General features: G+C 40.4%; 1 protein-coding gene across 19 annotated transcripts in view; it reads left to right on the plus strand.

The window, feature by feature from the left end:
- Positions 1-26,122, plus strand: part of FTO (FTO alpha-ketoglutarate dependent dioxygenase) — a 417,979-nt gene that overhangs the window by 289,276 nt on the left and 102,581 nt on the right. For 2 of the 19 annotated variants that reach the window (XM_011523314.4, XM_017023656.3), the window contains exon 9: positions 1-26,122. This exon is cut by the window's left edge and continues 27,518 nt beyond it; it is cut by the window's right edge and continues 4,749 nt beyond it. The exons of 15 other annotated variants lie outside the window; for them this stretch is intronic. Coding sequence is in view for 2 of the 4 variants with exons in the window: in XM_011523316.4 (XP_011521618.1) it covers positions 15,190-15,196 (7 nt within the window). In the remaining 2 variants the exon portion in view is untranslated. 2 more of the 19 variants (XM_011523316.4, XM_024450437.2) reach the window with 1 other exon arrangement.

The following is a 26,122-nucleotide window of genomic DNA, read 5'->3' on the forward strand; positions in this document are numbered from 1 at the left end:
TGGAACGAAAGTAGAAAGTTTATGACACATTTTATTATATTCCTAAATGTGAAAGAGGATTCTAATTTAAAAATAAGTGGCCATACTTTTTAATTCTTATTTAGCCTCTGTAGCTGTTTTAATATCCCTTTTATGGTTGACTGGTCGATGTTTTAAAACAAGTTCTTCAGGGACTCTGCCCATTAGTCTTTGGCAATAAAATCTGAACTTTACTAAAATAAAACATGAAGCCATGGAGTAATTAAGAGGGGAACTTTCAGAGATGACCGTGAATATGAAATACAGTGATTTGTATTATTAATGGATTTGGGGAAAACCAGCCCACCTCTTTTAAGCTCAACTATGTGTATTTGGGGGGTTTTATATTTTTAATTTATTTCTTTGTTTCTCTCAAGGCAGTAGGGGTTCCATCGCAAGCTCTTAAGATCTACCAATCCTCCTTTTGTAGCCTGCTGCTTCTGAATATGAGCCTTTCTTTTTTCATTTTATTTGGAAAATGGGGTGATGTCACTTAGGAAAGCATTTTTCCCAAAAGTGGTTTCAGGAACCAGAATCTGGTGAAGTGTTATTTAAAAGCGATAACATAGTAAAGCTCTGCTTTGTGCTTCAAATAATTGTAGGATTTACGGGATATATCCCTAACCTGTTCAGTTTTATGGAAGGACAAAATACAGGGATTCATTTTATCATAGTTTCTTAAAAACTTTGAAACCCAGTTGACAGTCATTTCTCTAGCATTATAATAAGCTCTTTGTGTTTATAAACCTAGTTCATAGTAATTTTTGGAGTGCTGCAATTTGGTAGTTATTTAATTTGCAAATGGGATTGGCCTCTCTAACCTCTAAAGGAACTAGTTCCTTTTAATGCTTTAAAACTTTCATTGACTCTCAATTGCCAACTGCAGGAAAAAGTTCAGGTTTTAAAAGTCCTTACATGCGTTTCAGCCTCCTCTCCCTGTTTCCTTTATGAACAGCCCCCTCCCACTCCCTTTCTTTCAATGGTAGGTCTGCTGCAGAACATTCTGCATCTCTTAAACTTTATATGCACTGTATTTTTCAGTCTCCATTCCTCTGCTCATATTGTGTTCTCTCCATGGATTCTTTCTTTTTATTATTTAATTTTTTTTAAGGGATAGGGTCTCACTCTGTTGCCCCAGGCTGGAGTACAGTGGCACCATCATAGCTCGCTCGTAGCTCACTGTGGCCTCCAACTCCTGAGCTCTAGTGATCCTCCCACCTCAGCCTCCTAAGTAGCTGGGATACAGGAACGCACCACCATGACAGGCCAATTTTTAAATTATTTTTTGTAGAGACAGGGTTTCACTGTATTGCCCAGGCTGGTCTCAAATTCCTAGCCTCAGGCAATCCTTCTGCCTCAGCCTCCCAAAGCGCTGGGATGACAGGTGTGAGCCACCAGGCCTGGCCTCAGGGATTTCTTCTTTACCATGTCATAGTCTCCAAAATTGTGCCCTTCCTTTCTGTCAACTCAAGTGTTTCCTCCTTTTTTTTTTTCTGAGACAAGGTCTCGCTCTGTTGTCCGGACTGCAGTACAGTGGTGCAATCTCTGCTCACAGCAATTTCCGTCTCCCAGGTTCAAACAATTCTCGTGCCTCAGCCTCCCGAGTAGCTGGGTTTACAGGTGGACACTACCACTCCCAGCTAATTTTTGTATTTTTTGGTAGAGACGGGTTTCACCATGTTGGCCAGGCTGGTCTCAAACTCCTGACCTCAAGTGATCCGCCCGTCTCGGCCTCCTCTTAAGAGGTATTTTTTACTCTGTATCCAGAGCTTCCTCATATACCCATGCAGCATGTGGAAAACAGCCTGTACTGCTGTATGCAGTGGCCCTGTTGGAATCCTTCTGCTTCCCAGCGAATTGCCCACACCCCAGACCATGGCACTGTCTCCAGATCTTCAGCATTGCAGTTATCATGTTAAACTTAGCTATTTGTGTATATGATTGTCTCGTTCACCAAACAGTGAGCCCGTTGAGGGCGAAGTTGTCTTAAATGGCTTTGTGTCCCCAACTGCCACCAGGGAGATGCATAGTAACTAGCCAATGAATGAATGTTTTCTTCCCTTAAAAAATACCAACAGATGCCTAACATAAGCAATTAAGTGAGGGAAAGCTTTTTTGCCATTTTAAAAGTCATTCGTCAGCCCACACGATACCACTGAGGAAGCCTCATGTGAGAGCTAATGAACATTAAACCCAGACACCATCGGGAGCTCACCAGAAACCCATGGCTGGCTAGTGAGAGACCCGGGGCTAGAAACTTGATATTTTGGTTTCACAGCCAGGTACCCTGGCAGCCACACCAGTGTTATGCTGGCAGGCATGCTTTGTCTGCTATCTGTGGCGTGAACTTTACTAAAATGAAACATGATGCCATGGAGCAAATTAAGAGGAAAGCTTTCAGAGATGACCATGTATATGAAACACAGTTCCTACTCCGCCTCCTTCACCCCAATGAGAGAATCCAAATTTTATTTAACTGGTGCATAGAGGTCTCTTGATTTGGGGGAAGATGGGTCCCTCTGCCAGCCTGAGATGGTAAATCACGCTTGGGTTAAGCCAGTCATCGAATTCCTGTTCCCCTTTGCTGGATGCTCATTTTCCCGGGTTCCCTTGCAAGTCAGGGGCTGTGTGACAAGTTCTGACCTGTGAGACACAAGGCCAAGTCCACTAGGAGAATTCTGGGAAGGATTTTCTTCCTGGTAAAAAGACAGAGCCTCATGTTTGCCAAAAGAGCCTGATTCTCTGCCCTTTCAGAGGCTTCCTGCCTTTGCACACAGTGACAAGACATGATGCTGGGGCTTTAGCAGCCACCACGAGGTGACAGGTAGGAGGACAAAAGTGATTACATTGATGTTGGTGAAGCAGGATAGAAAGAGCCTGGGTCCACAATGACCAACCTTGAAACCTCCCATTTCCAGACTTCTGGTTCAATAAGAAGCACCCCGATGGTTTCATCTTTTGACGGTTGGTTTTTTGCTGCTTGAAACAGGACACATCCTAACTGATTCAGTTACTTTTAGAAGGAAAAATAAAAGTGGAGACAGCATCCTAAGAGGAAAGGTGGTGACTGGATAAACTATATGGAAGTCCTGACAACATCATATTTAAGAAATTTGGTGGCTGGCCTCTATTCTTCTGTTAGGTGTAAGGAAGACCCACTGAGTAACACTGGAGCATTCATCATTCAAGAAACATTATATTTTAATCTTGGATATTCCTAGCACTATGCAGGATTCTGAGGATGCAGAAATAAAAGGCAGTTTCTATCCTTAAGGAACTTGGAGCCTAGTAAGGGAGACTAGTGAGTAAACAATTACCTGAGAGTATGAGGATCACTCTCTTTTGATAGGGGTATTGTATTAGCTCTTATGCTGCTGATATGCCTGAGACTGGGTAATTTATAAAGGAAAGAGGTTTAATTGACTCACAGTTCCACAGGGCTGAGGAGGCCTCAGGAAACTGACAGTCATGGCAGAAGGAGAAGCAAACACATCCTTCTTCACATGGTGGCAGCAAGGAGAAGTGTCGAGCAAAAGGGGGAAAAGCCCCTTATAAAACCATTGGATCTCAGGCCGGGCACGGGGGCTCACACCTGTAATCCCAGCACTTTGGGAGGCCGAGGCAGGCAGATCACCTGAGGTCAGGAGTTCAAGACCAGCCTGGCCAACATGGTGAAACCCCGTCTGTACTAAAAATACAAAAAAAATTTAGCCTGGCGTGGTGGCGGGTGCCTGTAATCTCAGCTGTTCAGAAGGCTGAGGCAAGAGAATCACTTGAACCCAGGAGACAGAGGTTGCAGTGAGCCGAGATTGTGCCATTGCACTCCAGGCAATGGAGTGGAGCAAGACTCTATCTAAAGAAAAAAAAGAAAGAAAGAAGGAAAGAAAGAGAGAGAGAGAGAGAGAGAAAAGAGAGAGGGAGAGAAAGAAGGAAGGAAGGAGAAAGAAAGAAGGAAGGAAGGAGAGAGAGAGAAAGAAAGAAAGAAAGAGAAACCATCAGATCTCGTGAGAACTCAATCACTATCAGCATGGGGGTAACCGCCCCCATGATTCAATTATCTACCACTGAGTCCCTCCCACAACACATGGGGATTTGGGGAACTACAATTCAAGATGAGATTTGGGTGGGGACACAGCCAAACCGTATCAGGTGTGTTTGGGGTACTATCGGAGATCAGATCAGGACCACAAAACCTGGATAGGCTGGGGAACAGGAGAAATCAGGAAATGTTTCCTGGCAGAAATAATGGCTAAGTCAAATCTTGAAGAAGGGATAGGATTTTGCCAGACCAAGAAAGACAAGGAAAGAAGGGGCGGGGCGGGGTGGGAGTGGGGGGGTGGTGCAGTATACAAAACAGAGGGGACGTGTTATAAGGCAGAGAGGTATGAGAGAAATAGAACATTCAGAAACTGTCCTTCTTAATATTTTTGCCATATTTGATTTGGATCTTTTTTTTTTTAGGAAAAAGCTGCTGATGGCTACAAATGTGTCTGTTATGTTATTCTCTATACTTGTTATTTCAAAAATATTTTATAAAAATTTGTGAGTGAATAAATGAGAGGGGAGAAAGGAAGGCAATGAGTATGAATCATCATTCTGATTTTAAGCATAATAAAAGCAGGAGGTGACTTCCACAGTCAAATACATTTGGGAAATAATAGAAAATTAAATAGTGTTCATTATTGTGAGAATTCCCAGAACCCTTAATATTCCCATGTTGATTGTTACTGTCCAAGATGGGGCCACTGTCTAGCGCACTTCCTAGGATAGATTTGTCCATAGGCCCCTCTTTTATGTAACCATCTGCCGAACTGAGGCCTTGGAAAGGCTTGATGTAGACCGCTCTTTCAGAAAACTTGACCGAGAAGGGAAGTACGCTTCTAGGGTAGCATCAGAGCAGAACATGGGGAAAGGGAGACATTTCACAAGAAGGGAGAGTCAAGATCATGTGTATTTATTTGCCAAGGGCAAAAAGCAGTAGTGAGGAAAAGCAAACAAAAACCAGTTGAAGACACAGCAACAGAGGAGAATGATTGACAAAGTAAGCAAGGTGCTTGAGGTTACAAAAGGGATCAGCTATTAAAGGACTTCTGCTAGTGTCTACTTGTCATCTTCAAGATGGCACAATTTTTACAGTACCATGTATCTGTGTTGCAGGAGAAGGTAGGCCTCTCAATCAGAGACTTAGCCTATAAACCAGCATCTACATAGTGAATCTAGGTATCCCTCAGTGTTCTTCTATTTATAAGGAACAGAAAACCCAACTTAAATTGACTTACGTAAAAAGAGTTTGTTGGTTGGTGTAATTGAAAAGTACATGGTTAACTAGCTTCAGGCATAGCTTGATCCAGGTATTAACTATGTCACCAAGATCCATCTCACTGCTCATAAGCCCTCTCAGTTGGCTCTATTCTTATGTTCCTCATGGCTCCTGGAAACTTTAGCCTCTTTCCTTCTGGTTGCAGGATGGTTGTAGCTCCATAGACATCACATCTGCCCTCACACTGCAACTCCTATGAAGAGGAAACACCTTATTTCTCAGGAGCCCCACCCTCTTACTATTAGTCTGATTGAATTATATGTCCATCCTTGAACCAATTCTTATGACCAGGAATAAGGCATAGTCCCCATGTATGTAACTTCTTTCTCCTGAGTTGTACAAATTATCAAAGGAAAACCAAGAGGATTATATCTCAAGAGTGGATTATGTTAAGAAAGTAACCCTTTCCCTCCAAAAAAGGAAACTTCCATAACAGAACCCTTAGATTTTTACCCAGTGTGATTTTAAACTCTAAATGCTGGAATGTTTAGGGTCCCAGGTCTGACAGCATGAATTAGATCCCTCCATGTGGAGCACCCAAGTAAGTGAAGGGTGTTGACAGCCATCATGGGGAATGCTGATGCTTACTGAAGAAGCCATGCAATAAATCCTCTTTAGAAATAAACAAAAAGCAGCTTTTGAGAACCCGGCTTTTACCCAAGACCAAAACCTGTCAGCCACAGGCAGAAGTCATTAGGCAGGATTTATATGTGCTGGTATCCAACACTGAGTCAAAAGGAGATCCGTAGAGGGGATTTCTCTCTTCCGGAAACCCAGCAGAGGAACGGGGAAGACTTTCCGGGTAAAGTTTCAGAGAACCTAATGCATAAATCCCCTTAACAAACACTGGGATTTGGGTTTGTAACTCATCTCTCCCAGCTTAGGTCCTGTGGAGACAAGCTGTCATAGGGCTGACACAACCAAATCAAGAAAGGAAAGAGTAGAATTTATAGTGAAAATCAGGAAGCTACTTAAAATGGTGGGTTTCTCAGAATGTGGTACTGCACATTTTTTGCTTGGTAGTCCCTGAACAGTTATTAAAGACCCCATGGAAGCAGATGGATGCTGGCCAGTAGGCATTGTCCCCTTTTATATTTATAACTTCACTGACCTTCATTTTACCTCTAATAGAGATTGTACCATTAATTGGCTGGATTCTCCCAAGCTCTGTGGCAAGTAAGAATGGAAAAGTGGATTTTCTCCGTACTCCATTGCAGAGGATATCATTAATTTGCTAGGTTTCGTTCCCACAGGGAAATGTTAAAAACCAGTACAGTTGGTTCTTCGCCACTCTGGATTGACAGACATTCTTTGTGTAGGTGCCTCTGGCTTTGAGAAACGAGGCCAGAGTCTATATGCAGACAGTGAGCAGTGATCTTCCGTTTCCTACTTGTTGCAGTAGACATAAAATCAGGGCAAATGGTGAGTTCCAGAGGAAAGGATCCAGCATGCAGCCTGCTGAATAAGAGAACAGGAATGATCTCGAATGATGATAAATGTTTATACTCTATTAGAGCTTTGGCCATGGGTTTGGCCACCATTCAATTGCCTCTACAGCTGATTTTTTATGTGGCTTTTCTTTTCTTTCTCCTGTTTGGTTGCAAACTTATTTTGACTGAGGATTTACTTGTCACCTCATGTTGACATTTCAAGTTATTGCATTGAGAAAAACATAGGAGAAAGCAAACAAGCAAGTATATTCCAACGGTCAACAGGCACAGAAGTCATACTCACATTTCAAAGAAAAACAGGAGAGTTGAAATAGAGAATGGAGAACAGATGTATTTATGAGGGGGGAAATCTTCTTGGCATTTGAGCTCAAGTCAGATTCTGGATTCTGGATAGTTTTCTCAGCTAATGGTGATTCCTAGGACTGCTAAGCGGGGGACATTCTGGTCTAACCGAAGTTGCCATGTAATTCTGTGGAATCATACTAACATTTTGATTTCTCTGATTATAAGTGACTGCAGCAACAAAGAGAGTAACTCTGTTGTAAGAACTGTTTCCACAGTGTCTCTAGGGACAGTTTTGCTTTAGTCTGTAAATTCTCCAAAGGCAAGCTGAGACTATGTAAATTAAAGAAATAGAGCCAGTGACAACCAACCCTGTGGTTTTATTTGATTTTCCAAAACACATGTCCATCGGTATGTCTCAGACAACACGATATGATTAAAGCACGGTAATAATCACCCATATATTGCATTTTAATTGGTATAATGTATGATGAATAGTGAAGTTGGAACCATGGGGCATACTTTCACATTTAAGGTATTTCTTTGATTTATCAGAATTTCTAAGAACATAAAATAGAAGTCAGAAAGTCTGTTTTCTGAGCTGGGACCTGCCATTCATCAGCTGTGTGATCTTGGGTATGTTACTTTATTTCTCTGGGCCCCATTTTCCCCAGCTATAAAATGAGGGGTTTAAACTAGATGAGCTCTAAAGAGCTTTTCACTTCGGAGTTTGGCTATTCCAAGACCTTTTCTAGTCTTGTGAATTTAATTACTGAATTCTGGGATCTTAAGTCTCTTTATCAGTTGAGTCTCCTCCTTTGTGGTCTTACAGCAAAGATGACTGTTGGCCAAACTTTGGATTTCTGAGACTGATTTCAGTGAATTGCATTATACATATTTTTAACTAGCTTATATTAAATGAGAGAAAGTGCAAGGAAGGAATTGCAACCACAATTTAAATAGTTTTTTCCGTGCCATTCTATTCCGTGAGCACCTGCCTTGGAGTAGGTGTGAAACGGGAGTCAGGAAGTCTGTGCATGCCTCTCAGAGGGTGGTATCTTCGTCTTCTGAGTATGATTCCGTACCATGAATATGTTGGTTGTGGATTTTTCTTTTCTGTACAACATGAGGCCCCTAAACATAAGGAAACTACTTCCTTTGGTGCTTAACCTAAGAAGCATCTATTCTAATGATGGAGGAAAACCTAGCTGTATTACACATACTGAAAGTGATATAGTGGGTTACAAAGTGACAGGTAAATATTTGTGTTCCATTTAAGTGGTTTGTGAGTATAATTTTGATTTTTCCTAACTGTTGCTTTCTCTAATGATTTTAGAACCGGATAACCCCTCCCCTTTCCCCTACTCTCCAAGCATAGGATAGAGCTCATCTATAAAATTCATTGGATTTTGTGTTTTTGCTCTTCTAGTTGGTCTCTGAAATGGTCAGAATGGAGTTGGAAATGGGACAGCCTATTAGTCCAATCTACTTCTAAGGCTCCTGAACAGCCTCACAAGACTCCATGCATCCCAGCATCCCTTGGGACCTGGGTGATTAGTTTGTGATCAACAGATTGTACTCTCAGAAAACGTGCAAGCCACCAGCCTCTCGTTCAAACTGTTTATAGGCCCCAGAAGGGGCTTCCTTTGGGCCAGATGATTAGTCACATTTTGTTTCAAACACCCGAGGAAAGGTACAGCAGCTTTCTACTTGAATGCATGCTTTTACCACCTAAAGGCAATTGGTTGGGAGAAGATTTGGGAGAAGACATTGACAGTGTCCAGCAGTCCTTTTATCTGTTATAAAGCTAAATGCATGTTTATCAAGTTTTCAGCAAAGATATATGTTCCACTTTAGCCTCCTTATTCTTATTTTCCACTTAGAGGTAGAGACTGGGTCTCACCATGTTGCCCAGGCTGGTCTTCAACTCCTGGGCTCAGGCTCAAGTGATCCTCCGACCTCGGCCTCCTGAAGTGCTGGGATTACAGGCATGAGCCACTGTGTCTGGCCACAATACACACTTGACTGTCATTTATAAACTCAAATGACTCAGCTATCAAGATGCCAAATTGGATTTTAGAGAGCCTCCTCCTAGGCACCTGATACTTTCATGCTTGGCTTATTGTACGAGGTAACTCCACTTTCTGTTCATCTCAAAAGTGTTGGGAAGTGTTTGCAGGTTACCTTCCTAGCACCTGCCCAACCTTCTAGAGAAGTGGAGAAACCTGTGAGGAAAGCAGCACAGGCGTTGCCACTTAGGGACAGTTTCATGGAAAGAGATCTCTACTTCTTGATGTCACATTACCCTTTAGAATTCCAGAATCACTTCAGATCTTCAAAGCTTTTAATAAGCAGCGATGGCCTTTTACAATTATTTTTTAAAGCAGCAATACTTAAAATTTTATTAAGTGCTGTCGTAGAAACTTGTGTCTACAAAAGACAGATAAAAACAAGTGTTGATGAGGATAGAGAAAAATTGGAGCCCTCATACATTACTAGTGAGGATGTAAAATAGTGCAGCCACTCTGGAAAATAGTGTAGAAGACCCTTTTTAAAAGTTAAATATAGAATTACCCTAAAAAGCACAGGCTTTTGTTGACTTTCCCTGGGGGTCAGGTGGGCTCACCTTGGTGCATCCTCCCCTGGGGGGCTCTGGTGTGGGAAGCCAGCTTTCCTACCATTCTGCATGCAGCCTTGTACTGGGTCCTTGGGGAAAGAGAAAGACTGTGAAATAGATGTTTCCCTTTTCCCAGAAATACCAACCCAAGATCCCCAGCAGTGACCCCTTATGGAATTCTGGGAAGAACTAAAGAGATAACAGTATTCTTTCCTGCCTTTTATCAACTCTGGATGGCAGGAGGGACTCTGGGGCTTGGGACTGGCTGCCCTCAGGAGTTCATGGCCTAGTACTGATGCCAAGGGGCAGAAATTTGTGAGAAAGAAGGCCTCCTCCAGGAGCTGTTGGTATGAGCCCCTAATGGGATCATGATATCCTACATATGCAACTATGGGAAGAAGAAAGGATCTAGCCAACATCTGTTATTATATTTTAAAAAGTAATTTAATTTGTTTACATTACTTGTCATTATTGTCACCCACTTATATTTGATTATTCTTTAAGCACATATAGAAAGATGAGGTTTATGTTGATTTTTCTGGTATTACATTTCCCTAGGCTACATCTCCATATAGAGCTTTCCTTTTTTAAAATCTGTTCTTTATTTTTTATAGAGACAGGGTCTTGCTATGTTGCCCAAGCCAGTCTCAAACTTCTGGCCTCAAGTGATCCTCCAGCCTCAGCCTCCAAAAGCTCTGGAATTACAGGCAAGAGCCACTGTGCCCAACCTCCCCATATAGAATTTTCTATAGCAATCTTGTCCTAGGAAATATCATAGAAATAGTTTAGGTTTTAAAAAGAAGGGCTGTATGTCATCTAAACTCTTATTTAACCTATGGTTGACAGCCTTGCTATTAAAAAAAGATCTTAAGTTGTTTTACATTTTATAGTCTTTTTAAAAAAAGATGATGAGACATCTCTTTAGTGGTTGCCATGTTTAATATTGTTACTTTCTAAGAACAAATATAATTTTTGTGAGAACATTATATTACTCTGAAACAGAGAACAGTACTCTCTGTCCTTTTAGTCCCTCAATTTTTGATAAGGTAAAATAAGATTATCTTATATGACTAGTGTATACTACCTTATATTTGTATGACACTCCATGTTTTTCAATGACTTTCTTCCAGAGTTTTTGTTGAAACACAAAAGGATTTGTACCCAAACTGACTTTACTTTCAATTCTGGATAATAGATAATTATTATTGCATTACAACTTTTAAAAATAATTAAGAAATCAGCTTAGAAAATGCTTGATGATTTTTACTTAGCATGGTACGTCTTTAGGGAAAAGACCGTATTATGAATTTAGCAAGCAAGTTGAGCATGGTGACATCCGCCTGTAATCCCAGCTACTTGAGAGGCGGAGGGGGGAGGATCACTTGGGCCTGGGAGTTCCAGACTACAGTGAGTTATGAAGGGACCCACTGCACTGCAGCCTGGGCAACAGAGCAAGACCCTGCAAATAAATAAATAAATAAATAAATAAATAAATGTCGTGGTTTTTTTTTAATTTAGCAAGTAAAGTAGCAGAATATCCTATGTTGGATTAGTCAGTGGAAAAAAATATCTTTCAAATCGCATTTGATGTTTGCTCACCATTATTATGAACTAAGCTACTCCATGGAACTAGAGCATAGCTGTCAAGTAATTATGAAGCGCCCATGCTAGGGACCGCATGCCATTTAATGAGTTTACATCAGTAAAAAGAGAGGACAGATTCAAAAATGGGACATGTCACACATACATGTGAGAATTTTCCCATAGGCCAAAGGGCCTCTTTCTTGGTTTTGATATCAGGCACCAACTCTAATAGGATGAAGCTATCTGTGTAGCTTGATGAAGTAGAAATTCATTGGAGTGGCCGGGCACAGTGGCTCACACCTGTAATCCCAGTACTTTGGGAGGCTGAGGCGAGCGGATCATGAGGTGAGGAGATCAAGACCATCCTGGCTAGTACAGTGAAACCCCATCTCTACTAAAAATACAAAAAATTAGCCGGGCATGGTGGCAGGTGCCTGTAGTCGCAGCTACTTGGGAGGCTGAGGCAGGAGAATGGTGTGAACCTGGGAGGCAGAGCTCACAGTGAGCCGAGATCGCGCCACGGCACTCCAGCCTGGGCCACAGAGCGAGGCTCCGTCTAAAAAAAAAAAAAAAAAAAAAGAAACAAATTCATTGGAGTACCTTAGCATTATGGGATATCTCTAGGCAGCGCCAGGTTTCTTGTCTTCATAGCTAAGATAGATGTTAAAGGAAGGGGAACCTTTTTCTATCCCATTTTTCTAGTGGCCTTTATAGGACTTGGCTTAATATTTTTATTTTATTTTATATTATTAAATTAATATATTTTTATTTTATAAAATAAAAATATTAAGCCAAGTCCTATGAAGGCCAGCAGATTTTATTTTATATATATAAATTTTTTAAAATATGAAATAAATATATAATACATATATAAATATATTTTTAAAATATGTAATATACATATATGTATGTGTACACACAGTGTGTGTACACTTGTTATATTATTACTTATCCTAGTATATTAATGGCTATATAACATAGCTGTGTCCCAAATACATGTAATACATATTACTTTTCATCTCATTTAAACCTCACGAGAGTTCTTTGGTGAAGATATGATTACCATTTTACAGATGAGAAAACCTGAGAAGAATAGAAGTTAAGTAGCATGCCAAGCTTACCCAACTAGCTCTCATTCATTCATTCATGATTCATGAAGTATTTATCAAACAACTACTATATACTGTCATTAAAGATACAAAAAGGATCAAACATAATCCTTGCCTTCAAAGAAGCCACAGTCTAAGGTTAACAAGTGGACTGGAGCGGAATTTGGTTTTATCATTTCAAAGGCAAAGGAACCCAGATTGGAGAGTTTTCTGGCAACTGCCTTAGGACTTTTTGGCCAAGATTAATGTAATATATAAAGGTAAGCATCAATGTGTTGGTGGGAAGAAGTATCCTAGAAATGTTTTTTGTTTTTTACTGTATCTAGGACTCTTATGAACTACTAATTCATTATTAAGTTATTTGATGACACAGATTATTGTTCAAGAATTTCCTCCCAGAGCAATTGATAAATATCAAATAATTTTTATGATGAGCAGTTCCAGAAAGGGTTAAAGTTAGCTTCTCTGGGACATATGATGGGAAAGTAGCTGAACATGATTTCAAAGGGATTTTTTAGGAGAAAATTCCAATTAACAGAGAAGTAATTTCCCTTTCTAGCTTACTAAGCCCTATTTCAGACTAATGCAGTTTCAAGATCATCTCCCTTCTCCCCTTATTTCAACAGATATTTTGAATATGAAAATCTTATGTCAAAACTTAGCTGAAGCCTTCATCAGGCTTTTGAAAGGCTAAGTAAGAATTCTGTTTCTAGGAATAAAAAGATTTGGATCAGAAAGATTCTTTGCTGGCTAGAGTTCCTTTTCGGATGGTAGTTCAAGCAGTCTTTAATCATATTTTTGTTGATTATTTATTAGTTTCCCTGGGAAATCAAAGACTCAGTAACGTAAAATGTGTTTTCCTTAAGATATTTTATGAATCAGAACCCACAGTAAAGAAATAATGGGAAATACATTTCCTTTGCTGATATGGACTAATTGAGAATTAAAATCCCTTTCTCTAGTCATTATCCCACATGGAAATGCTGAATGACCCAACTGGCCCAATTGCACCAACCACAGTTTCTGCCTAGACAAAACTCTTATGCCACTAGTAGATAAAGAGAGAGCTTTCTCAGTAAATCAAAACTGCAGAGAACTAGAACTAATTTAAGTGAAAGGATAGGCTCCAAGCCCGCTGTTTGGGTAAACCCACACTGAACCAAGTGAGCGATTGATGAAACTTAATATATGTGTATTCCAGTCATCAGCCTGGAGTATGTGTAATGCAAGCCCATGGTGTTTGTCACTGTGAGAAATGGAAAGGCAGACCTTCATTCTCAACTGTGTGGGGCTGCTAGCCTGTGGCAGCTTTGGTCAACATCGGGCTTGCTTTTGGGTGAGCCAGACTTTGGCTGGTTTCCTGATGGAGGTTAGGGGAATTGTGAAATGTGTCTCCTTACACAGATCGTCCTGATCAAATGAAATAAAAAGGTATTTTAAAAATAATTTGCTTAGTGAAATACAAAGGAAATAGGATGCATTTCATACTATTAAGGCCGATATGGTTTTGGGGGATACGAGGTGTACATACGTGAAAAATTTGAAAACAATTCAGAGTGAAAAAGAATGGTCGTATAACCTAATGTAAATGACGAGTTAATGGGTGCGGCACACCAGCATGGCACATGTATACATATGTAACAAACCTGCACATTGTGTACATGTACCCTAAAACTTAAAGTATAATTTAAAAAATAAAAGAAAAAACAAAAAAGAATGGTCGTGTAGTAGAGACAGTGGTGAAGAGCAGGACTCTGGAGCCAGGTGTTCTGAGTTCAGAGCCCACTCTGCCACTTACTAGATCTGAGACCTGGAGGAAGTTATTTGCCCTTTCCCTGTTTGGCTCTTTTGTAAAATGGAAATATAAGAGTACCCACCTCCTAAGGTGGGCTTATGAATTAATAGATATAAAGGTATGTAAAATTATTGCTATCATTAGTTACTGTTATTAATAGATCAGAAGTCACAAGCTCCAATGCCTGCAGTGCCCATGCATACCAAAACAGGGATCACTGGCAACAGAGACATGGCCCCAGTGGCGTGGAGATAAAAGAAAGTGGTAGGGACAGTGGCAGACAGCCATCACCCTACTCCCCATTGATTGTGACCCTAAGGGAATGCTGGTCCTGTGTCGCCAGAGCTTCTGGTATTGCCAAAGAAGCTTGAAATCTGGACTTGGTCAAAAAATCTCTCAACTTGTAAAGGTGGTTGCTTTATTTTAAATTACTCTACAAGCCAAATAAAACACTGTCTCCAGGCTATTGGCCACCAGTGAATGACCTCTTTGGACTAACAATTAAACTCAGCTATGGAAATTCATCTGATTACTTTATTGTCACACTGTGAAACAGGGATTCATTGTCATTCCAGAAACAGCCATTGAGTCCCTGCTTGTGTCCACCCCTGTGCTGGTGCAAAGGATGTGCCCAAGAATCAGGCAGACAATCCAAAGAAGCCACCTGCTCCTTTACAAGTTGTTGACAATTAAGAAACACCTAGCACTTAATAGATTCTCCATAAATGTAGGTTCCAACTCCTTCCATTACCTTTGATACGTCTAGACCTGATCCAGTGAGTATTTGAGGGCCAATCTCAGTTTCTAAGTAGGAATAGTGATATTGTTGAAAACTAATGAACCCACCGACAACATCACAGAAATACTCCTATACTTCTTCAATGTGAGTTTCCTGCTTTTTGTGTCATTTATCATCCCCTTTTATTTGATGTCTCTACTCAGGACTTAGGACTCGGGCTGTGATATTGTGTATGTTACCTCACAATTTTTTTTCTGTTTTTTTTTTCTTTAAGTGTATAAGCTTCGTTTATACTTCCAAAGGATCTTCAATGGAACTCTACTTCTGTGAGCTAAACCAGTGTCATACTGCAATGAAAACTGCAGGTGATAAACATTGTCTAAATAAAATTTCCAAAAAGTATTTGACCAAGAAATACCTTCCCCCTGCATTCCCCACTTAATGCATCTTAATATGCCAAGTTACTGATATTGTTTGACCTATTTGGGGAAATGCTGGCTTGCCAAATTATTGCCCTTGTTAGGAACTACAGTTTCTTGTAATTTCTTACCCACTCCGGCATCCACACAGGTATCTTCCAAAGCTCAGACTTTATTTTCAAGAGGTCTATCTGAGACCAGTCTGGGTAACCAAGTGAGACCCTGTCTCCACAAATAATAATAATAATAATAATAATAATAATAATAATAATAATAATAATAATAATAAATTAGCTGGATGTGGTGGCATGTGCCTGTAGTCCCAGCTACTTGGGAGGCTGAGGTAGGAGGTTTGTTTGGTCTCAGGAGTTCGAGGTTGCAGTGAGCTATGATCATGCCTTTGCACTCCAGCCTGAGTGACAGAAAAAGACCCTGTCCCCCCCCCAAAAAAAAAGTCTAGCAACTTGAGTGTGGCAGTGGCCAACTTGATGGTAACTAACAATGGGATTGCAAACTCTTTGAGGAAAGGAACTGTCATCCTGAACTCGGCATAGCACCAAGCACTGGGTTGTTACATGGTGGGTGTTAAGCAAATGCCATGGAATGCAACAGACCCCTTTTTCTGCTGCTGTAAACTGTGGTGTTTGAACCTAGTAGTGAATGGCCCAAGGAAAAAAATACTGCAGGAAATATAGTAATAGATGAATTTGGATAAAGGGTATATGAGTGTTTTGGAGTATTATTCTTACAACTTCTCTGCAAGTTTAAAATGATAATCTAAATTTTAAAAACTTATTTTCCGTTCATCAAACTACTCTTAAAATGTGTAAAACTATACCTGAATTTAAAAGCAACAAAACTCATATTGCAAGTCTTGGCAAACTGAGAGATAGGAGCAGAAAACAATGGTGGATGCCTATAAACGGATCAAGAAAAGGGAGTGAGAATTTACTGGAAAGAAGGACAAATGAGCATCGAATTCAGCAGGTTTGGGTTTTTCCAGAGATCAGTGCCTGATACTGGTTCCCAGATGATATCTCCCAAGAGCCCGGTTCCCAGGGTGTGTTCCAGCCTCTGTCCGCCAGGCTTCCCACCAAGTCTTGTGCCAATAGTAGTTGCCAGCACATTCTGCCTCACAAGTTGCTGGCTCCACCACTACTACCCTATCCCACCTACGTCCAAGATACGCATCTGGCTTTTCTGCTTTGAATTCAGCAAGTCATCTCCTTTCCTGTCATGTAACTCCCTCTGTGACTCGGCCTACCCAGCCACACTCCTCAGTGCTTTGTGGCAAAACTCAACCTGACCCCCCTTCAGAGAAAGAGAAATAAGTGTCGGGGTTGAAGGTTCAGCTGTAAAGTGATGTTTCCCATACTCATAAACTTACATAGCAATGAGGAACTGGAGTCTATTTTTGACTGTTGTAGTGACCTTTGTGCATACCCTAAAAGACAGAGGAACATTGAGCTAATGTAGCCATCCCATGAAGCCTCAGTAGCTCTAATAGGTCCTTTTAGTTGTTGCTAGGGTGCCAGTTCTTGCACTTTAATACAATTCTTGGCTGGGCACCATGGCTCACGACTGTAATCCCAGCACTTTGGGAGGCCAAGGCAGGAGGATCACTGGAGGCCAGGAGTTCAAGACCACCCTGGGCAACATAGCAAGACCTCATCTCTGCAAGGTAAAAAAATTAACTGAGTGTGGTGGTTCATGCCTATAATCCCAGCTACTCAGGCGATGGGAGGATCCCTTAAGCCCAGGAGTTGGAGACTGCAGTTAGCCAAGATTGCGCCACTACCCTCCAGCCTGGGTGACAGAGCAAGACTCTGCCTCAAAAACCGACCAGCCAAACAAACAAACAAAAAATGCAATTTCTCCCATCCTAACTCTTCATATTAGTAAATCTTCAATAAAATGTATATGGGAAATCAATATGGCACCCTCAAACCTAGTTGTAATAGTCAGGAGAAGACCATTCTAGCCTTTAAAATCAGTCCTGTTAAAAAAAAAATCAGTCCTATTGACATCAACGTTTTTACCTCCAGTTCCTCTCCACCCTTCTCTACCTCCTGATTTCATGTAGGCGAGCAATTTAGGACAATGAGAGTCACAGGATTTTAAATAACTTAATTCCTAGGTGTGTTTGGTACGGAAACAAAGATAACCCTGTTCAACAGTGAATTTGTGCCCCTGGGTGAACGGCCAGGTGTTCTTTCAACTGAACTGTGAGACTAATTTCTTCCTGGCCTCTGGAAACCAGCTGAAGCAGTGGGCCAGCTGGTCTATCTTCAATCTTGCATACCAACATCTTTCTCTGATTCACAGATTTCCTTTATCCCCAGCACTTCCTCTGGTATGTGCATCCCCGAAAGTAAGTGATATCTATTATTGGATTTGGGCGTTTTAAAATCATTAGCCTTCTGGAGGGGAGGGGAGAGGAAGGAGGCTGGATGGTTACATTAGAATATTTCCAGAGGGAACCTCACTTTAATCTCATCCACCTCTGACTTCTGCACCCCAGATAACCCCCATATTTGGGAGGGATGACATCACAGTAACTGACAATGGAATTATCACCATTGCTCTTTTTAATATTTAAATGATACACAGACTCAGAGAAAACAAAATGAGTTTACATATAGTCATAATATCCATAACTAGAGATATAAAACAAAAAGCTATGGAGATTCTTATCTAGTGAAGAAATCTCTTTTAGAAAGTTTCTGATGACTTTCAGTTGCAAAGCATAGCTCTTTCACAATATATCAACCCACTTTCAATGATTTGAGATTTGGAGAGGGCCCAGCCATAGATTTACCTGGTGAGTCACAGAGTAGAACTTGATATGAGAAAGCAGGACCCTATATCTATCAGCCTAATGGTTCTCAGAATACCAGGTCATATCCATCATTTCTTTTCCCAAATAGCTGTAACAGGCATACCTCGTTTTACTGGGCTTCACTTTCTTGTGTTTTGGAGATGGTATGTCTTTACAAACTGAAAGTTTGTAGAAACCTGCATTGAGTAAGTCTACCAGTGCCATTTTTTCAACAACATGTGCTCACTTCGTGTCTCTGTCACATTTTAGTAATTCTTGCAATCTTTCAAAAGTATTTATTAAGATAAAAAACAAAAGAAACGATATAAAAATAAAGAGAAAAAGGAAGAAAATTTGTTATTATTATACCTGTCATAGTGACCTGTGATCCGTGATCTTTCATATTACTATTGTAATTGTTTTGGGGCACAATGACCCTCATCCATATAAGATGGTGAACATAATAAATGTTGTGTGTGTTCTGAGTGATCCACCAACCTGCCATTCCTTCATCTCTCTCCCTCTCCTCAGGCTTCCCTATTCCTTGAGACACAACAGTATTGAAATTAATTAATAAAGTTATAGCGTCCTCCAAGTGTTCAAGTGAAAGGAAGAGTTGCACATCTCTCACTGTAATTCAAAAGCTAGAAATGATTAAGCTTAGTGAGGAAGGCATATCAAAAGCAAAGACAGTCTGAAAACCAAGACTTTTGTGCCAAATAGCCAAGTTGTGAATGCAGAGAGAAAGATCCTGCACCAAATTAAAATGTGACTCCAGTGAACACATGAATGATAAGAAAGGGAAAAACAGCCTTGCTGATACGGAGAGAGTTTGAGTGGTCTGGATAGAAGATCAAACCAGCCACAACATTCCCTAATGTTTGTAAGCCAAAGCCTAATCCAGAGCAAAGCCCTAAATCTTCAATTCTATGAAGGCTGAGAGAAGTGAGAAACTGCAGAAGAAAAGTTGAAAGGTAGCAGAGGATGGTTCATGAGATTTAAGAAAAGAAACTGTCTCCATAACATAAGTGCAAGATGAAGCAGCAAGTGCTGATACAGAGGCTGCAGCAAGCTATCCAGAAGATCTAGCTAAGGTCATTGATGAAATGGTTGCACCAAACAGCAGATTTTCAATGTAGACAACCTTCTATTGGAAGAAGATGCCATGTAGCATTTTTATAGCTAGAGGAGAAGTCAATGCCTGACCTCAAAGCTTCACAGGACAGGCTTACTCTCTTTTTAGGGGCTAATATAGCTGGTAACTTTAAGTCGAAGCTATTGCTCATTTACCGTTCTGAAAATCCTAGGGCACTTAAGAATTATGCTAAATCTATTCTGCCTGTGCTCTATAAATGGAACAACAAAGCCTGAATGATAGCACATCTGTTTATAGTATGGTTTACTGAATATTTTAAGCCCATTGTTGAGACCTCCTTCTCAGAAAAAAAAAAAAAGATTCCTTTCAAAATATCAGTGCTCATTGACAATGCATGTGGTCACCCAAGAGCTCTGATGGAGATAAATGAGATTAATGTTGTTTTCATGCCTGCTAACACAACACCCATTCTACAGCCCATGGGTCAAGGAGTAATTTCTGCTGTTAAGCCCTATTATTTAAGAAACACATTTTGTAAAGCTATAGCTGGCATTCCTCTGATAAATCTGGGAAGGATAATTGAAAACCTTCTGGGAAGGATTCACCATTCTAGACACTGTTAAGAAAATTCATGATTCATGGGAGGAAGTCAAAATATCAGCATTAACAGGAGTTTGGGAGAAGTTGATTCCAACCCTCACGGATGACTTTGAGGGGCTTAAGACTTCAGTGGAGGAAGTTACTGCAGATGCGGTGGAAATAGCAAAAGAACTAGACTCGTAAATGGAGCCTGAAGATGTGATTGAATTGCATAATCTCATGATCAAACTTAACAGATAAGTAGTTGCTTCTTATGGATCAGCAAAGTGTTTTTTTTTTTTTTTGAGATAGAATCTACTCTTGGTGAAGATACTGTGAACAATGTTGGAATAATAACAAAGGATGTTGAATCTTACATAAACCGAGTTGATGAAGCAGTAGCAAGGTTTGAGAGGATTGACTCCAATTTTGCAAGAAGTAAAATTGTGAGTAAAATGCTATCAAACAGCATTGCATGCTACAGAGAAATCTGTCATGAAAGGAAGAGTCAACTGTTGCAGCCACCTTCATTGTCTTATTTTAAGAAATTGCCACAACCAGCCCAGCCTTCAACAACCACCACCCCAATCCATCAGCAGCCATCACTGTTAAGGCAAAACAATTGTGACTTGCTAAAGGCTCAGATAATTGTTAGCATTTTTTAGCAATCGAGTATTTTTAAGTATGTACATCGTTTTTTACACTATATTGTAGTCTGCTATGCATGCAATAGCATTATGTCTAAAAAACATAATTTTTATATGCACTGGGAAGCCAAAAAATTCACGTGAGCTACTTTATTGCTATATTTATTGTGGTGGTCTGGAACTGAACCTGCAATATTGTCAATGTGTGCCTGTATAAGATTCTCCATGCACTAAAAAGGACATTTGAAAGTCATGAGTAAGTTGTAGAGGAACTCTGGTGACTTGAAGCTTGTTTACTTTTAGCAGTGTGTACCTGTTGACACTTCTAGTATAATTTATATTCTTTCTCTCATGAGTATTTTACAGGAAATGCGTTTTCCTTTGCTAGTGATATATGCACTTTGGTTTTCAGGAAGCTGTGGTGCTTTGGTTGAAGCTCTCTGTCTGTTTTAGAGAAAAGACTTACAATGACCTCCTGATATAGTTTGGATATTTGTCTGCTCCAAATCTCATATTGAAATTTGATCCCCAATTTTAGAGGTAGGATATAGTGAGAGGTGTGTGGGTTATGGAGGCAGATCCCTCATGGACAACTTGGTTCTGTCCTCTGGGTAATGAGTGACTTCTCACTCTATTAGTTTTTGTGAGAGCTGACTTTTGAAAAGAGCCTGGCACCTTCCTCCCCTCTCTCTCTCTTGCTTCCTTTCTCTCTCTCCGTGTGATGCCTGCTTCTCTTTGCCTTCCACCATGAGTGGAAGCTTCCTGAGGCCCTCAGCAGAAGCTGATGCTGGTGTCCTGTTTCTTGTACAGCTTGTAGAACTGTGAGCCAAATAAACTTCTTTTTTTATAAATTACCCAGCCTCGGGTGTTCCTTCATAGCAAGGCAGACAGTCTAGGACACCCCCCAAATGTGAGCTGCACCATAAGGCAAACTGGGAAACCTCCTTTAGTTTTGCATATGTGAGAATTTTGATTGACTGAACCAAGGAATCACCCTCCTAACTCCACTGCAGAAGGCCATTCTCATGTCATTTGCACACGTTTAGCTTGCCTGAAGTGTGTTCTATAAAATGCACCCAGATTTTCAGGCATTTAAAATTATTATTATTTTAAATCTCCTACTTTCTCTCTCTCTCTCTTTTTTTTTTTTTTTTTTTTTTTGAGATGGGGTCTTGCCCTGTCATCCAGTCTGGAGTGCAGTAGTGCAATCACAGCTCGCTTCAGCCTCCAACTCCTAGCCCCAAGCAATCCTCCTGCCTCAGCCTCTCAAGTAGCTAGGACTATAGGTACACACCACTGCACCTGGCTAATTAAATTTTTTTTTTCTTTTTAGAGACATGGTCTCACTCTAGGTCTTGCCTAGGCTGTTCTCAAACTCCTGGCCTCAAAAGATCCTCCTGCCTCAGCTTCCTAAAGTGCTGGGATTGCAGGCATGAGCCACCATGCCCAGTTGCATGTTTTAATGGAGAGAGATGTCCTGGGCATTTGAACTGCAGATTCCCTTAAACTGGACATTGTCAGCTATTTATGTATTACAAAAACAATTGTGTTTCATGTAAAGTATTAAACATCAACATTACGTCACCACAAGGGTGATTACAGCAACCTTCACTCCTAAGTGTGCGTCACCTACACAAACAGAGTTGTTTGTCTGCAGCATTGTTTTCATTTGGTAACAATTGTAAGAGTTGAAGTAGCACCTTAAGGAGTAATTTTCAGAGGTGAAGCAATCAGTTTTCAAAAGTGAACTCCTTATAGTTAATAACTAACCAATAAAAAAATAAAGCTATCTCCATGGCACAAATGCCCATGGCACAAATGCCCATGGCAAAAGGAAATAAGACGAGTCGTTTTAAAAGGTAGCTTTGAAAAACAAAAAAGGATTTAAAATTCAAAGACTTTGGGAAAATTCAACTTAACCAATAACATGAGTAACGACTATTACTATTTCCTGAGTCCTTACCATATGCCAAATACCGTTGTACATTGTACCTGCTTCACATAAATTATTTCATCTCATTCTCACAACATTCTGTGAAGCGCGGGTACTTTATTATCTATCCCTGTTTGCCAGATAAGGAAGCTGAGACTTCATACAGTGACTTACAAGTTCGGACAGCCTCCAGCAAACACAGGAAACAGGATTCGAACCCATGCAGTCTGCCTCAGAGCCAAAGCCCTTGGCCATTTTTCTATCCTGCCTTCCACAGATCATTTCTGCCTACAGCAGAGGTCAGAAACTGACAACCGGCTGGCCTTACCTAGCCTTAGGTAACAGTAATGGCTATTGAACACTTACTATGTGTCAGGATTATTTTACACACATTCATGTGTTCCTTCATTTAATCTTCAAAGCAACTCCATGAGGTAGGTGGCAGTTATTATCCCCATTTTACAGATGAGAAAACTGAGACCAAGAGGAAGTAACACTTCCCAAATGTTAGCAGAACTAACATCCAAATCCAGACTGTCTCATTCCAGAATCCCCTCCTCTTCACCATTATGCTAAAAATACAGTTGTCTGCCAACATGACAAACCTGGATGTTTCCCCAGAAAATGAAGGCTTCTGACTTGTCATGAAAAAAAAAAAAAAAAAAAAAAACTGGAAGACTTGTCCTCTTGGACCGAGCAACAGTCACTTGTAACAATGGGCAGCTGCCCATTTTAGATGAGGTATCTCCTACCTAGTTGCTACCACCCCTCATTTAGGCTGCTTTGCTCTTTGATTGCCGGTCTGAACTTTGGGGACATTCTATTTTGCAGTCTCAGTCTAAGGTATCCTTAATACTGGATCTGCCTCACTTAACAAGCTAAATGTCTGTGTGTTTTATGTTTTTTATTGTAGCACAAGTTGTTTAATGTTCTCTAAAAAGCATTCCCCACAAATAGCAGTAAATGCCTCTTTCCTATTTTCTTCCCTGTCCCTTGCCCCGAAAGTAAGGCAGCTCTGCAGAACTAGTATTTGTGCCCAACGAAGTGGGAAGATATGAGGCTGATAGCCTTTTCTCTCTCTTCTTGGTTGGTGGCACTCTGGTAGTGCTTGGTTAGCGATAATGGAGCATCTCATGGCTTTGTTATGTGTCATAGTAGGCTATTGTGTGACATAGAGACACCTGGCTTTTGTACACGCCAGAGCAAAATTCAACTACAACATCCAGAATTGAAGAGAAGGATATTGGCAGGTACATGCCTCCTTCTCAAACCAGAGATTTATATATTTAAAAAGGGCTTTTCTAAGAACTCAATCTTGATTATTTGTTCCATGTTGGGCCAAACCAGTGCATTATTGGGAAGATAATGAGTGGCATTCACCCAAGGGTAATCCTTTCAGGGATTTTGATGATGCAGTAAATCATGAGTGTAAAGCCTGAGTGGTTTATGCCATTAAAACCTCAAGATAGAATTAGACTTGTAATCACCACTTGCCCATGTTTTGTCATTTATGATAATTATAGTAGTAATAATCCATGTATTGTTGAGAAGTAGCAGTCAGAAGCATCCATCAATTTTTTATCGACACCAAATCAAGTTGATACTTCATCTTTGCTGCAGAAATGTAGATTGAACCAATTAGTCTAAAGAAATTGGGCAGTCATTAACAATGAAGCAAGCAGTTAATCTACAGAACATTTCTGGCCCCTCTGATGCCAACAATTCCTCTTAATTATGTGGAATATCATGAGCTTCTTTGGGACTCTGTCAACAGTGCCATTGTTGGCTTACATTAGAAGGAGCATCTATGTCCCTGCTTTTATTTAAAAGAATGCAGTGCCTTCCAGCCCCCACCTTGCACTCTTAGGCGCTTCTAGGCAAATGTATTCTGAAGCAGAACACTTGAATCAAAGCACTTCGCATTTTCTTTCTTATTTAGAAATAAGAATTTTCCCCAATGGGCTTCTTTCGGTGATGGCACGTTAGCTCACCATCCCATATGTGTTAACTATTTTTGTTCACCTTACCCAAATCATGGAATAATCATCTCCTTTTAAAAAAGGAAAGAAAAGAAAAGTCAGAGTTTAAAAGAAAAATCCAACTATTTGTGAAGAAATCCTGGTGCTAATGAGCTTTCTGCATCTGCCTCAAGTCTTTTCCCCAGGCTAGCCCAGTCTCCCTCTCTAGACATTTTCAATCAGCCTCGCCCGCAAATTGTACTAAGCAGCTGAATAATGCAGGGTAGAAATTTCAAATATAAATATTATTTCCTATTTAGGAAATTTGGAAAAGAAAGCAGGAAAAAAATAACTCACCCCCTGGTCCCCCACCATGACACTACCTCTGTGAACATTTTGGTAGATATTCTTTGGGCTCTGACACGTACACACATGTTGACTTTTATCATCATCATCATCATCATCATTATTCTAGTACTCTCTTTTTCACTTTGCTAAAGTTTGAATCATCTTTTGTAATGGATGCGTAATACTCTACCAAATATAGAGTATGTATTTGTCCATGTTTTGAATTATTTCCCTAGGAGAGCTTACCCAAGGTAAAATACTTGGTCAAAATTTATAAGCCTCTTCATAGCTCTTGGTACATACTGACAAACTCTCTCCAAAAGGATGGTACCAATTTTTAAAATCTCACCAGTAATATATGCAGATACTGGTTTGATGTTATTGAGATTTAAATTCAGTTGTGTTGGCATGGTTATAGCTTAGATAGATAGATGATAGATAGATAGATAGATAGATAGATACATACATACATACATACATACATACATACATACATACATTCATTCATGTGTTTGTGTGTGTGTATGTGTGTGTTACTCCTCCTTAATGGACAAATGGTGATATGGATTGGCTGTGTCCCCACCCAAATCTCATCTTGAATTATAGTTCCCATAATCCCCACGTGTGATGGGAGAGACCCAGTGGGAGGTAATTGAATCATGGGGGTGGTTCCCCCATGCTAGTCTCGTGATAGTGAGTAAATTCTCATGAGATCTGATGGTTTTATAAGGGGCTTCCCCCTTTACTGGGTTCTCATTCTTCTGCTTCCTGCTGTCATGTGAAGAAGAATGTGTTTGCTTCCCCTTCTGCCATGATTGTAAGTTTCCTGAGGCCTCCCAAGTCCTGTGGAACTGAGTCAATTAAACCTCTTTCCTTTATAATTTACCCAGTTTTGGCCGTTCTCTATAGCACTGTGAGAATGGACTAATACAATGGGCACAGTATCAAATTGTACCCTGACTCAAATTACTGTAAACAATGCCAGTTGTTATCTCACATCACAGGAAGTTCGGAAATAGGACAGCTGTAGGTGTGATATGATCATAGGCCCAATGATGCGATTGGAGACTTGAGTTCTTTTCTTCAGTTTCTGCCATCATCACCACCCTCATGCTGGCCTCCTTTGGGCTTCAAATGCCTACAGTAGCTCCAGGCACCACATCCAGATGTAGAAACAACAGAGATAGAAGGAAATCAATTCTTCTTGTGTCTCCTTCTTAAGAGTGAGGAGATCCTTCCTAGAAGCTCCCAACTGAAACCCCTAAACCAAGACTGGCAAGGGAAATGGAAGCACCATTATCGACTGATTAACTAAGATTTACTCCCAATCTGGCAATGGAGTCAACTTCCTTTGAGTGCTGAATACCTGAATAAAATAGATTCTGTTAACAAGGAAGAAGGTGGGAATG

The sequence above is a fragment of the Homo sapiens genome, chromosome 16 (assembly GCF_000001405.40).
Source record: "Homo sapiens chromosome 16, GRCh38.p14 Primary Assembly".
In the NCBI taxonomy this organism is placed as follows: Eukaryota; Metazoa; Chordata; class Mammalia; order Primates; family Hominidae; genus Homo; species Homo sapiens.